Source organism: Homo sapiens, chromosome 8 (assembly GCF_000001405.40).
Source record: "Homo sapiens chromosome 8, GRCh38.p14 Primary Assembly".
NCBI classification, from domain to species: Eukaryota; Metazoa; Chordata; class Mammalia; order Primates; family Hominidae; genus Homo; species Homo sapiens.
The window spans coordinates 11470811-11483192 of NC_000008.11; the positions used below are offsets into that span (position 1 = coordinate 11470811).

Sequence of the window (12382 nt, forward strand, 5' to 3'; positions counted from 1 at the left end):
AGGGACTTGTCCATCCGTGGGCCCAGAGTTTCAAGAAGAAGCGGGAAGTGACTGTCTTAGGCATGTTCAGCTGCAATGGCTCCTCCCTGCTCTCATCTCTCAGAAGAGGCTGATTCAGGCTGAAGTTCAGAAGGACAATGAGGGCCAGCTTTCTGTCTTCTAGGGAACCTGTTAGTTCCATTTAGGGGCGGCTGGCTCTGTGCCACCCGGGGGCTAGACATGGGAGTGTGGCGCACGTGGCTTTTTGGTAGGAAGATAATTAACAGAGCAGTCACCACACAGAGCGTCCACCTTAGTGCTGGAGTAGGGAGGTGACAGATTCCACCTGAGCCTAGGTGAGGCGGAGGAGTGGGCTTCAGCTAGGAGAGGTGCCCACTCTGAGGCAGCAGAGGGAACTGCATCTGGAAGGGCATGTGCGGAGGCTTTGTGCAGAGCAGGAGGTTGCTCAGCGGCCGAGGTGAGGAGTGGCGGGCACAAGGGCACAGCTGCAGGGCTCGGCGCAACTGCAAAGGCAGAGGATGAGGAAGGAGCGCATCACGGCTCTCCTAGCTCAGAAGAGCTGGGCAGGTGAGGGGTTGAGACAGGAGGCCCACACAGAGGTTGTTTCTGTGTTTCTGCTGGCTCAAGGTGATGAGGCCCCCCGCATGTCCCAGGTGATGATGACATTGGGACGGCAATAGAGGTGGTGACAGCAGGGGACCACGAGTCAGGCAGACCCGGGTTGCATCCCAGCTCCTCTGGTGATTAGTATGTACCATGGGCGGTCACTTAAGTTTTCTGAGCTACAGTTACATCATCAATAAGATGGAAATGATTTTACTGTTCATAGTACTGCCTTGATCCGTGAGCGAGAGGGCTGCCTGGGCTGGGTTTTAGAGAACCCTGCCCTGCGCTTTCTCCAGGCAAGATGGCCGGGGGTCAGGGGTTGCCCTCTCAGAATCCACTCCCTCCTTTCCACCTGGGACCTAGGGCCCAGGGATCTCCTGCTCAGATGGGCCACGTTCAGGCCTGTGTGGCCTCTTCCTGGTCTATGGGGTTTGGATGAAGGCTGCGCTCTCAGGCTGAGCTGCTCCCCTGTCCAAGCTCTGGGTGGGAAAAGTAAGAGGGGGGCCACAGGTGGGGCCTGAGGCCTCACTCCCACCTCCCTTCTTTGTTCAAGGGTCCAAGGATGCAAATCAGAGCCTTGCTTTTGAAGTTGTTATAAAGGCATATTTGTCAAGGCAGGAGGAAAGAACGAAACCTATTTTCCAGTTTATTAACTTGATTTATAACTTTCAAATATTTAGAGACACGGCATGTGGGCCTCCCTTTGTGCATTCACTTTGGGCCTCTCAAATGTCAGGCTGGGACTGATTTGAGCCTTTCTTGCTGGTTTGTTTAAGGAGCAGATTACGCAGCACACCGCACACAGACATGAGCGATCACCTCCCGTATCCTGCCCCTCTCCATTGTGATGTCTTTGAGTTTGTGGAGTTTGCTGTTTTATCTTGTGAACACTTGTAAGAACATCTTCTAGAATATGCTGTGGAATGCCCAGCACCAGCACATCCTTGGTGACAGCTGGAAGGAGGCCTCCTGAACATGCACAGCATTTGTTTTTGTTTTGTTTTGTTTTTTGTTTTTTGGGTTTTTTTTTTTTTTTTTTTTGAGACAAGGTCTCTCTCTGTTGCCCAGGCTGGAGTGCAGTGGCGTGATCTCGGCTCACTGCAACCTCCGTCTCCTGGGTTCTAGCGATTCTTGCATGCACAGCATTTGAAGGGCACCAGAAATGTCACCACTAACAACAGAAGACCGGAAACCCTGATGGGCAGGGGAGAGCCTTCTAGACGTGATTCTAAGCAGTCCTCTCACCCAGTGAGCCTGGCTACTTTGAGTAATGGAAAGAGCCCTGAGTAGGAGCCAGGAGATCCAGGTTCCAGGGTGGGCTCTTTTACTAACTGGAACTTTGTCAAATCACTTCCTTTGGTTGGATGGCTTTCTTTTCACTAGAACGAGTGGTTCCAGCTCTGCCATCCTCTGACCCCTGATTCCATGACACTCTGCAATTGCTGAATAGACTCTATCCTGCTGGGCAGAGGCAGGAGGCCGGACCAGGAACTGTCAATTAGTGGTGTCTGGCAGTTACTATAAATCAAGGCCAGCAAGATAAAAGAAACAGGCTGGTTTTGAGGCTGGGATGAGAGCCAGCCCAGGATGTTCAGGAACAAGGCGGCACCCCCATCCTGGGGAAGAGCCTGCTTGAACTCAGGGTGAGGTGGCCCTTGACCTGCAGGCAAGACCAGGACCTGCAGTAGAGCTCTGCCCCTTATGGAAGCCAGGACAGGGAAGCCCAATGTCTTCTCCAACTCAATAGCCCACGGCAACGTCAGTGATGCAGGAGCGAGGACACAGGGGCTCATTTCATCTCCATCGGCCAATCCCTGATGATACCTTGAGAAACCAAGGTGCAGAGGACAGACTGATGAACACTGGTGTGGGGGGAAGCTTGTTGCATACAGGGATGATCATTCTGTCATCAGGAAGGCCGAGACATGAGGCAGGCTTTGGAGGCAGGAGTGAAACAAGGTGCTAAAAGAGAAGGACTGCCTGTCATTCACCAGTGCTGGGGGGGATTTTTGGGGAAACGGGACTTGGGCTCTTAATATTCAACCTCTTTTCAACAACTGTACCCCGAAGAGATACTGAGGACAAAGCCTCCCTTATACGTAACTTCTCTCCTAAAATCAACTCTAACCCACTGCCACGTAGATGTTCAAACAAAAAGAACGCACACCTTCTTTCCCATCCCCATCCTGGCCAGGGAGGTGGGGAGGAAGTGTACGCAGTGCAGGGTGCGGTTCTATCTCTGGGTCTGCCCCTTGCTGTCAGGCTGCTTTGGGCAAATCCCTTAGTCTCTTGAGCTTCAGTTTCCTCCTCTACACATTGGCAGTACCAAGAGCTACCATGAAGTTCACTGTGAGGATTAGAATTAACGCCTAGAAAATGCCTGACAGTCTTAGACAGGGAGTAGCACACAGGGAATGGTGGTTTTTTTGTTTGTTTCTTTTTCTTTTTCTTTTCTTTCTTTCTTCTTTTTTTTTGAGACAGAGTCTCACTCTGTCACCCAGGCTGGAGTGCAGTGGCGCAATACCAGCTCACTGCCAATCTTTGCCTCCTGGGTTCAAGCGATTTTCCTGCCTCAGCATCCTGAGTAGCTGGGATTACAGGCATGCGCCACCATGCCCGGCTAATTTTTTGTATTTTTAGTAGAGATGGGGTTTCACCATGTTGGCCAGGCTGATCTTGAACCCCTGACCTCAGGTGATCCGCCTGCCTTGGCCTCCCAAAGTGCTGGGATTACAGGCACGAGCCACCGTGCCCGGCCAACACTGTTTTATCACGTCTGCGCGCCAACTGCTCTTGGTTTGCGCACCACCTGGAAAGGGGTGTGGCTTTCACTCATTCTGGTACCAGGCACAGCATGAACAAATATTCAACAAGCAAACTGGCAGCATTCCTGGATATCTTAGCTGCCTTGTTTGTCTTCCCAGAGCATGAGGTAGCCCTGTTTGGAACCTGACACCAGCAAAACAGGACGGCGCATGGAACAGACAAACATGCCCCGTGGTTCAGCCACAGTTTTTGGGCACAGACTCCAGAGCACTTCCTGGCCCAGGAAAGCAGCAAGCCACTCCAACCTGGTCAGCTGCCAGGCTATGGTTCACATCTTAGGATTGAGACTTGGTTTCTGCTTCACAGACAGAACTAGAGGCAGAAAAGAAGAGAAAAATCAATACAGGCACCCAGAGATGGGCTTACCTAGGGTCCTGGAAGATGCGAGAAGCCACAGTGCAGAGGACAGACTGATGAACACACAGAGAAATCACTTCTGCAAGAACCCACTGATGTTTCATGGTCTGATCAAAATGTTTCACAATCAGCCCTCCTAGACAAATGGCTCTGTGGGATGACGCCATAGGCTTACGGGGAGGAGACAGGGAGTAGGAAGGAGAAAGGGAGAGGAAAAGGAGGGGGTAAGGAGGAAGATGAGGAGGCAGAGGGGGAGGGGGAGGAAGAAGAAGAATCACAATAACATCAACAGCGAAGGCGACATGAAGGAGAGGGGAGGGGAGAGGGAGAAGGGAGGCAAAAGGAAGGGAAGAGAGAAAGGTTCAGAGTGGGTTGCACTCTGCCCAGCAGCCAAGTGTCCTGGAGTGAGGAGCCCATGGGAGTCCCCTGGACACTGTCAGAATAAACAAATGAGCAGGACTCTTCCCCTCTTACTGTCTCATAAAGGCCTTGATCCAGCAGACTGGGCAGTCCAGTGGTTGCAGGAAGGGCCAGACCAGCCTGGGGCTAACAGTTCTGCAGCCAAGGCCCACCGTGGTGCCCCCACCTTAGGACAGGTTCCTCGGCTTTTCCTCTGGGACCCCCTCCCTGTGCCCCTCCAGCCTGGCCTCAGTTTTCCTACTCGGTTTCCCTATGGGCCTCTCTGCACCCTTGTGCATGCTCACAGAGTTGAAGGACTTGGATTTTCTTAGAAGTTTTCCAAGAGGAAAAACGATCTGTTGGCAATTGCAAATACTTTAGAGTGTCTGCATAAAAGCCTCTCAACCTCACCCCACCCCCAGCTGGGCCTTCTCACCCTGATGTTCAGCTGCGCAAGTCACTCAGGCTTCTAGGATCTCAGAGTCTAAAAGAAATCAGATGAGGCCCAAAAGAAATCAAGCAGAAGCCAAGATTAAAATACAGTTGAGATCCAACCTTTTACACATCATACTCCTTCTGAACCTCCTGCAAAAGTCTTCTTGCCATCAGAAGAGCCATTACGTTTTAAAAACCCACCCCACACAAGCACACCCATACAAACATATCCAGTACCAATTATATGATCTGACTCAATCAGGTCAGATGTGCCTATTTGCAGGTCCTAGAACACACAGATTCTCTAATCTTTCCCTAAATGTATTGATTCTAGCTCCTTTCCCCTGCTCTATGTCCCCTCCCCCAACTCAAATTGCTGCCCTTCACCTGTGTTTCCCTATCACCTGGGACACCTGCCACTCCCACACTCACCCCTGTGGACGCAGACCTCTTGGTTATCCTCCCAGTAGACTACGAGTCCTATGAGCTCAGGGGTGGTTTCTTATTCATCTTTGAGTAAGGAATGTTCCCAGTGCCTAGTGCAGGGCTGGAATGCAGTGGGTACGTAATCAATGATGTTTCTACAAGTGAACAAATGGATGAATGAATGAGCGTGCATTCTCAATAACCCTTCTGCTTAGTTTCCTCTGTTGAAGAAGGAATGGGTGGGAGATGAGCCAACCCAGGGAAGCCAGGAATGTTCCAGATGGGTAGTTGGTGCCGGGCTGGGTGGTGTGTGAGCCAAGCCGTTTGTCCTCTCCAACCTTAGGAATGAAGCAGGAGGAGAGGAAGGAGAGGCCAGAGGAAGCAGCACCCTTAGTTCACTGCTGATGTGATGTGGCCACCAGTGCCCACCCCCGCCCCCCGGCTTTCCCCCATCCCCAGTCAATGACAGAAGGACAGGCATGGATCTCCCCACTGTTTTTAATGGGATTGTGTGATCTTGCCTCTTTTCTAAGGAGCTAAAATGGAGTTGTAGAAGATTCCATCTTCTTTCTCGGGAAATCGGCAAAAGGCAAACTTTGACAAACTTTGACGCATCCTTTCTATAGACAGAGAGGCTCAGATCCCTTCACGAGGTGCCCCCAGGCCACAGGGGAAGCTGGGCGTGGACTCACCAACCTCCCTAGCACCCAGTGCTGGTAGCAAATATGAGTCCCTGCCCAGGCTTGATGGCGGCGTTTATCCTCCCACAGCCTTCCGCCCTGAGCCAGGAGCCAGGCCTGTGCAAGTGTTTTCTGCTCAGACATAGGACAACTTGGGAAAATTCTATGACTTGCCCCACCTCCCTCCAAAGCCTCTGGGAGCCCAGGTGTTTGCACCTGGGTTTCTGGAGATTCATGTGAGCCGGGGTGGGGGAGGATAGAGCCAAGGAAGGGAACACGGGGCCCCAGGGCCTTAAAACCATTCCTGGGGGGATCACTGCCTTGGCCTGAGCGACAGGGTGGGAACTTAGGCAGCCTCTGGCTTAGAGCCCTATGTAGACCTAAAACGCTCTCCTGTGTGCCTTGTTTGGGAGATGGTGTTTTGGGCTGGAGTGGGGGTGCCAGGGAGGAGGCAGGGCCTGAGTCTGTGACAAAGAAATTGGGGTGGTGGGAAGGGAGAGTGTGTCTGAGCAAAGCTGGGGCCACCCACCCCTGGGGAGGCCCTGAGGAGAGGAACCGAGGCCAAGGGCGACATCGGCCTGGATCCGCAAAGACAAAGAGGCCTCCGTTCCCTGGACTTATCCTGGGCCTGGGCCTGCCCAGCCCGGCCTGTTTGCCCACCACAGAGCCGGTCCCCAAGGCAGTCAGGTGAGGAAAGGCAGCTCCTCTGGGAGCTGAGGAAAGCTGAGGGGAGTTAAGGGTCTGGGAGCTGAGGGTCTGCTTTTCCTGCCAGGGAGGAGCAAGTGGCTGAAGGCCACGGCTGAGGAGAAGGGCAGGCCTTAGGCAGGAAGGGCTCGGAACAAGGCCCACCCACCCCCTCCTTCCTCTCAGCCCCTTCTCTGAAGGAGGCGTCCATCCTCTCCCATCCCCTTCTTTCTGGCGGAAGCACTCAAAGCCCCCTCCCGTTCCCTTTTCAGCTCCCACCCGAATTCCCATAGCCTTGTTCAATTAGCCCTTGTTGGGGGGTCTCTGGGAGCCTGTGCTCCGCACCCCATGCCCCCACCCCATGGAGCCTGCACTCCATCCCACAGGGCTGTCTCCAGCTTGGGAATTCTTTATCCTTCTCTCTTCCACCTAATCCTACTACTCCTTGCACTTGGACATCTTATGAGGCTTCCTTACCTCAGGGAGACCCACTCTGGCTACCACAAAGGGAAGAAGCCCAGTTAGGGGAGGCCAAGCACTGGCTTCCTAGATAGATCCTTCTAGAATGTTTGCTTTTTAAAAGAGAGTGATCCTTTACCCCGAGCCATCTAACTGGGGAATTTCAGGTCCCAGGACACAGTTAAGTCCTCTGTTTTCTCCAGAGTCCGCCATATGAAGCAGCAGCCGTGGCTGGCATGCACCAGTCACACCCGGCACTCAGCACACGTATTTCTTTATCGTTTTTCAATCATATGTTTAGATTTTTTTTAAAAAATAGATCCTTTAGTTTTTGTTTCTGTCCCATTTCTTTTTGGATGTCGGAAATTTGAAAAAAAGGAAAAATAAAAATTTCTCCCCAGAAGAAAATAGCAGTCATCTATATTCCCATGAACCATAACGAACTGCTATTGACATTTCAGCATAATTTCCTCTATGTTTTTCATAGCCCATATTATTTTTAAAAGTATGCTAGATGTAAGTAAATTGATTCTTCTTCTAGAAAATTCTAACATTATAGGTAAGGCTAAGCCCTTTTTAACCAACCCCCACCCCTCAAAGCTGCTTCTGGCTCCTCCTCCCCATAATAATCTCTACTATGAGTTAAGGGTATATTTCCCTAACCCGTTGTTATGACTTCTACGTGCAGGTGTATATAAAGCACATACAGTTTTATTTTGTTTATTTGTATTTTTTAATGGTTTTAACATTATAGTTATATGCATTGCTCTGCAATTTGCTTTTTTTTGTTTCTTGCAATTGGTATTTTGATTTTTTTTTTGTTTGATTTTTATGAGACAGAGTCTTGCTCTGTCACCCAGGCTAGAGTGTAGTGGGGCGATCTTGGCTCACTGCAACCTCCACCTCCTGGGTTGAAGTGATTCTCCTGCCTCAACCTCCTGAGTAGCTGGGATTACAGGCACACACCACCACACACAGCTAATTTTTTTATTTTTAGTAGAGACGGGGTTTCACTATGTTGGCCGGGCTGATCTTGAACTCCTGACCTCATGTGATCTGCCTGCCTCAGCCTCCCAAAGTGCTGGGATTACAGGCCTGAGCCCCTGCACCCAGCTTGGCATTTGCTATTGATACACACAGATTTAAGCCACTTCAACAACCCACTCCCTTCCTGTTGGGCATTTCAGCTGTTCTCAGTCACTGCACTGAGACAGCATCCTGTTCACCCATTCTTCTCGAGCACAGGCTCCCAGAGGTGACATCCTAGGTGAATGGTCCAGCACATGTTCTGTTTTACTAGAGACTGACAGAATTCACTCTATATATCGATGTAACCATGTATATGCCAACCACTAGGGACCTGTTTACCTATGAACCAAGCCAACTCCTGATAGTGACTGACATTTTTGTGTGTGATATGGGAGAACAATATCTTACTGTTACTTTTCATTTCTCTTGTTACCACTTAGGTGAGCATGTAATTTTTTTTTTTTTGTATGGATACCCAAGTACTCCATCGTCATGTAGTGAGCTGTTTATTGCATCATTTATCCTTTCTCTGATGGTTGAAAATGCCAACATTTTAATACGCTTTATTTCAATATATGCATGGGTCATTCTATTCAATTCTATTGATCTAGCTGTATATTCCTGAGTTAATTGATACCACACTATTTTAATTATTATGGCTTTATAATGCATTGATATTTGTAATTTTGCTCTTCCTTGTAGTCATTCTTTTTTTTTTTTTTTAAGATGGAGTCTTGCTCTGTTGCCCAGGCTGGAGTGCAGTGGTGCGATCTCGGCTCGCTGCAAGCCTCGCCTCCCGGGTTCACGCCATTCTCCTGCCTCAGCCTCCTGAGTAGCTGGGACCCTTGTAGTCATTCTGTAAATGTATCATTTTCTTTTGATTGATGAGGAAATTGAGCCTCCAGAGTTAAAATGATTTGTCCAAGGCCTGTTTTAAAAAGGACCCAAGGCCCAAAGGGTCTTCAAATGGGGTCCATGGATTCTCCTGCCCACTCTGCTTTCCCTGGGCCTTCCCGCCCCTTGGCATGTAGTGTGGGACAGGAAACAGCCCATGAGCCTCGTTCTGGGCTTCTGTAAGGAGTGTTGGAGTGTTGAAGGCCGGAAGTGTGAGGTTCGTGATCAACTCAGTATACCACTGGACGCTATATGAGTAAACAGCAAACTATTCTCATGAGAGCAGGATGTTGGGCAAACTGACAAACTGCGTCTGCAGCTCAGAAGGAATGCTGAGGGCAGTCACAACCCAGGCACAAGTGTTTCTTGTGATTAGGCAAATCTGAAGCCTGTTAGCAATAACGTGAACCTGTGATCAATCAAGCAGCTGACCAATCGTTACCTCCTCCTCCCTGCTCTCACTCCCCAATAATACGAAGGGCTGTAGAAGCTCAGGGCTACTGCTTTGCTCACTAGAAGTAGGGAGCTCTTTTCTTCTTCCCCTGGCCCTTTTCTTTAAAAGAGTTTTTTTTTGTTTTAAGTTTTCATTTCTGTGTTTGTCCTCCTTCGTTCAGTCTCGTAATGACGGTCTCAATTACTAACAGCAGTAACTGTTATAATGATGGTCTCAAGTAGTAATTGTGACAGTCTGCCACACGGGGGGGGTCATGTCCTACATTACACAGCATCCCCCCCAAGGGGACTCACCAGACATTCCGGAATTTTGGGTGAATTTTGTGTGATCTCAACCTCAGGAGAACTGGGCTTCTTTGAACAGCTGGCTGTTTTTTCCCTTTTGGACATGGATCCATGAACGGTGGGGCTGTGCTCTTCACCCTGGCTCCTAGATAAGGAGTGTTGGGGTGTTGAAGGCTGAAAGTATGAGGGTCGTGATCAACTCAGCATACCACTGGAGGCTATAAGAGTAAACAGTACACTGCTTACCCACCGCCCCATCACGTGGAGAGGCACTCATGGCAGGCTTCGTGCCTACAGTCCCCACTCCCAGCTCCATCATACTCCTCTGCTCTTATCTTCCCCTTTGACTCATTCCACCCCTCCCCTCACCAGCTTCTTTAAAAATGTTTTATTTGGTGTATTATAGTTGTGCAGTGTTTTTTTTAGAACAAGGTAGTAAGGCACTCTGTGAATGAAAAGTTAAAGTGAAGCATTTCAGGTAGTGTGGGGGCTATTTGGGGCCTCACCCCAGTGAGTTAGGAGATTCCAAGATCTTCTGGGGGCCTCCAGGCTTCCCTGTCCCATCCAGAACCTCTCTCACCTCCCCAGAGAGAACCCCCCCCACCCATGCCAACGTCCGCAGCCACCACACCTCCCCAGCCCACCCCAGCTCCAGCCACACCCTCCTGCTCCTGGAGTTTGGTTTGTGTCCATCGAGTGATGCTGGCTCAGTCTCGGCTTCTGGTGCTGCCCTGGGCGAGGCCAGGACTCTCCTAGGCATTCAGGCCTGAAAGAGCTTCCCTTGACTCAGCCATGACTCACCAGGGGTGGGCCCTACCAGGGCGGGGTGGCCCCCTGAGGGGTCTTGGGATGGCCTGGAGTTTCTGAGCTATAAACATTGCCATTTAAATTATTGAAATTACTGAGAAAGTTTGATATGTGGCAGCTCAGCCTTCAGGGGTTGAAGTTCCTAGAACATCTGCTTTCAACTCAAACCAGTTAGTGGGATTGTGGCATGGAAGTCTGGGAAATGTTTCCTAAAAGGCCAAGTGTTGGAGAGAAAAGAGGACTGGACTGCGGGTTGGGAGACCTAGGATCCAGTCTGGGTGTCACTCCTCACTGGACTGCAACCCTGAGCAAATCTCTTTCCTTCTCTTGACCCTGTAAAATGGGGAGAATAAGGCCTGTGTGTGAGGGTCCCTTTAATCACTGAGTAATTACGACCAAGCACCTTTAATGAGCTAAGGAGTGTTCGAGGTTGCTGGGGGTAGAGTGGCGGAAAAGAACGGCAAGGCAGTAGCAATCAAATCCACCAATGCAACAGGCACCTTTAGGTATTGATAAATACCATTAAGAAAACAAAATAGGGTGGCTCACGGGAGAGTACTGGGGGCAGGGGAGTTAAAGGTGATCAGAGAAGGCAATTGTCCAGGTAACTGATGCCTCGTCCCAGCTGATAGCAATGGAGATGGGGAAAAGTGGGTTGACTGCAGATAACCGTGGAGGTAGAGCCCTTAGGATTTGCAGACTGGGAGAATATAGTCACCAGGATGATGACCACCAGGGTTTCAGGGTTGAGCAACATAGTCAATGATGCTGCTGAGTCATTGAGCTGGGGAAGAAGTAGGTCTAAGAGGAAAAATCGAGAGCTTGGTCTTGGACATATTAGGTCTGAAGCCCTAAGTTGACACCCAAGTGGCACCAAGTGACACCAAGTGAAGATGTGATGCAGACAGGCAGGCACATGACTGGAGAGCGTGGTGCAGAGCTATAGCCAACACAGGTACTCACAGGTGGTGAGGGGCTACCGGAGGCATGGCTGCAGGGCTCTAGAACTCTTTACTGTCTCCTCCCTGCTCTATTCCCTTTCAAATACACTCACACTCCTCTCTGCCCCTAGCGCCTCGAGCCTGAGCCTGTGCTGGCCCTTAACTTCCCCTGCAGGTGGCTCTGGGGCCATTGCCAGCTCTCTGCACAAAATCCACACATAAGTCCTGGGCCCAGAGGCCGGCTTCAGTTAGCTGACAAATAGGAAAGCAGCCAGTGGACTTTCTCCAAGGGCTCAGCCACACTGGGCATCTTATTTTCTGATAGGGCATTTCTGTCTTTCTTTTTTTTCTTTGAGGGGGTGCTGTTATGTAGGAGCAAGAGAACAATGTACCAATCCACAGGCACTATTGACAAAGTTCCCGGGATATTTTTAGAGTGGGGCCTAGCTTTGAGTAGTTCAGAAACCTCTGGAGGCCTCCAAATAGCTCAGTGTGGCAGCACCTCCAGCAGGGAGGGCTCCTTTCCCTGAGGGAGCTTTGGAAGACAACAGAGGGTGCCAGCTCCTGGGATGGGTGCCCCTGAGATTCCACATGGCAGCTCTTACACTTATATCAGGGCTCGAAAATGAGAAGTTTGGGTTCTGGTGATACAGCCATGGTTGGTGAGCTCTGGTATAAAGAAGCATCTTAGCAAGCCGCAGATACACAGAGACGAACTCCATTGTCCCCAAGTGACAATGGGGTCCAAATAATCAGGAACCCTAGTGAGCACCTGCGCCTTGCTCAATATTAGATCAGTTCATTGTTCACACACACAGTCACTCTGTCTGGTGATGATTGCTGTCTCTAACTGCAAATTGACAGGGCAGGAGGTCAGTAGGGAAGCACTCCAGATTGTTGGCTGAGTTGGCATCTGTATTAGTCCTTTCTTGCGCTGCTATAAAGAAATACCTGAGACCAGGTAACTTATAAAGAAAAGAGGTTTAACTGGCACAAGATTCCACAGTTTGTACAGGAAGCCTGGCTGGGGAAGCCTCAGAAAACTTACAATCATGGCGGAGGGCAAAAGGGGAAGTAGGCACGTCTTACATGGCGGGGGGA

At 50.3% G+C, this 12382-nt stretch overlaps 1 protein-coding gene across 1 annotated transcript in view, besides 3 other annotated features; it reads right to left on the reverse strand.

The window, feature by feature from the left end:
- Positions 1 to 5098, reverse strand: part of FAM167A (family with sequence similarity 167 member A) — a 54433-nt gene extending 49335 nt beyond the window's left edge. The window contains exon 1 of the mRNA XM_011543840.4: positions 5056 to 5098. The gene's annotated coding sequence lies outside the window, so the exon portion shown is untranslated. The remainder of the gene's footprint in view (positions 1 to 5055) is intronic.
- Positions 9322 to 9751: an enhancer, noted in NCBI's record as "active region_27009". NCBI's record gives its function as "activates an Ori minimal core promoter by ATAC-STARR-seq in GM12878 lymphoblastoid cells {active_cell/tissue: GM12878}" and the evidence as "EXISTENCE:reporter gene assay evidence [ECO:0000049][PMID:35858748]".
- Positions 11420 to 11499: a silencer, noted in NCBI's record as "silent region_18932". NCBI's record gives its function as "represses an Ori minimal core promoter by ATAC-STARR-seq in GM12878 lymphoblastoid cells {active_cell/tissue: GM12878}" and the evidence as "EXISTENCE:reporter gene assay evidence [ECO:0000049][PMID:35858748]".
- Positions 12110 to 12209: an enhancer, noted in NCBI's record as "active region_27010". NCBI's record gives its function as "activates an Ori minimal core promoter by ATAC-STARR-seq in GM12878 lymphoblastoid cells {active_cell/tissue: GM12878}" and the evidence as "EXISTENCE:reporter gene assay evidence [ECO:0000049][PMID:35858748]".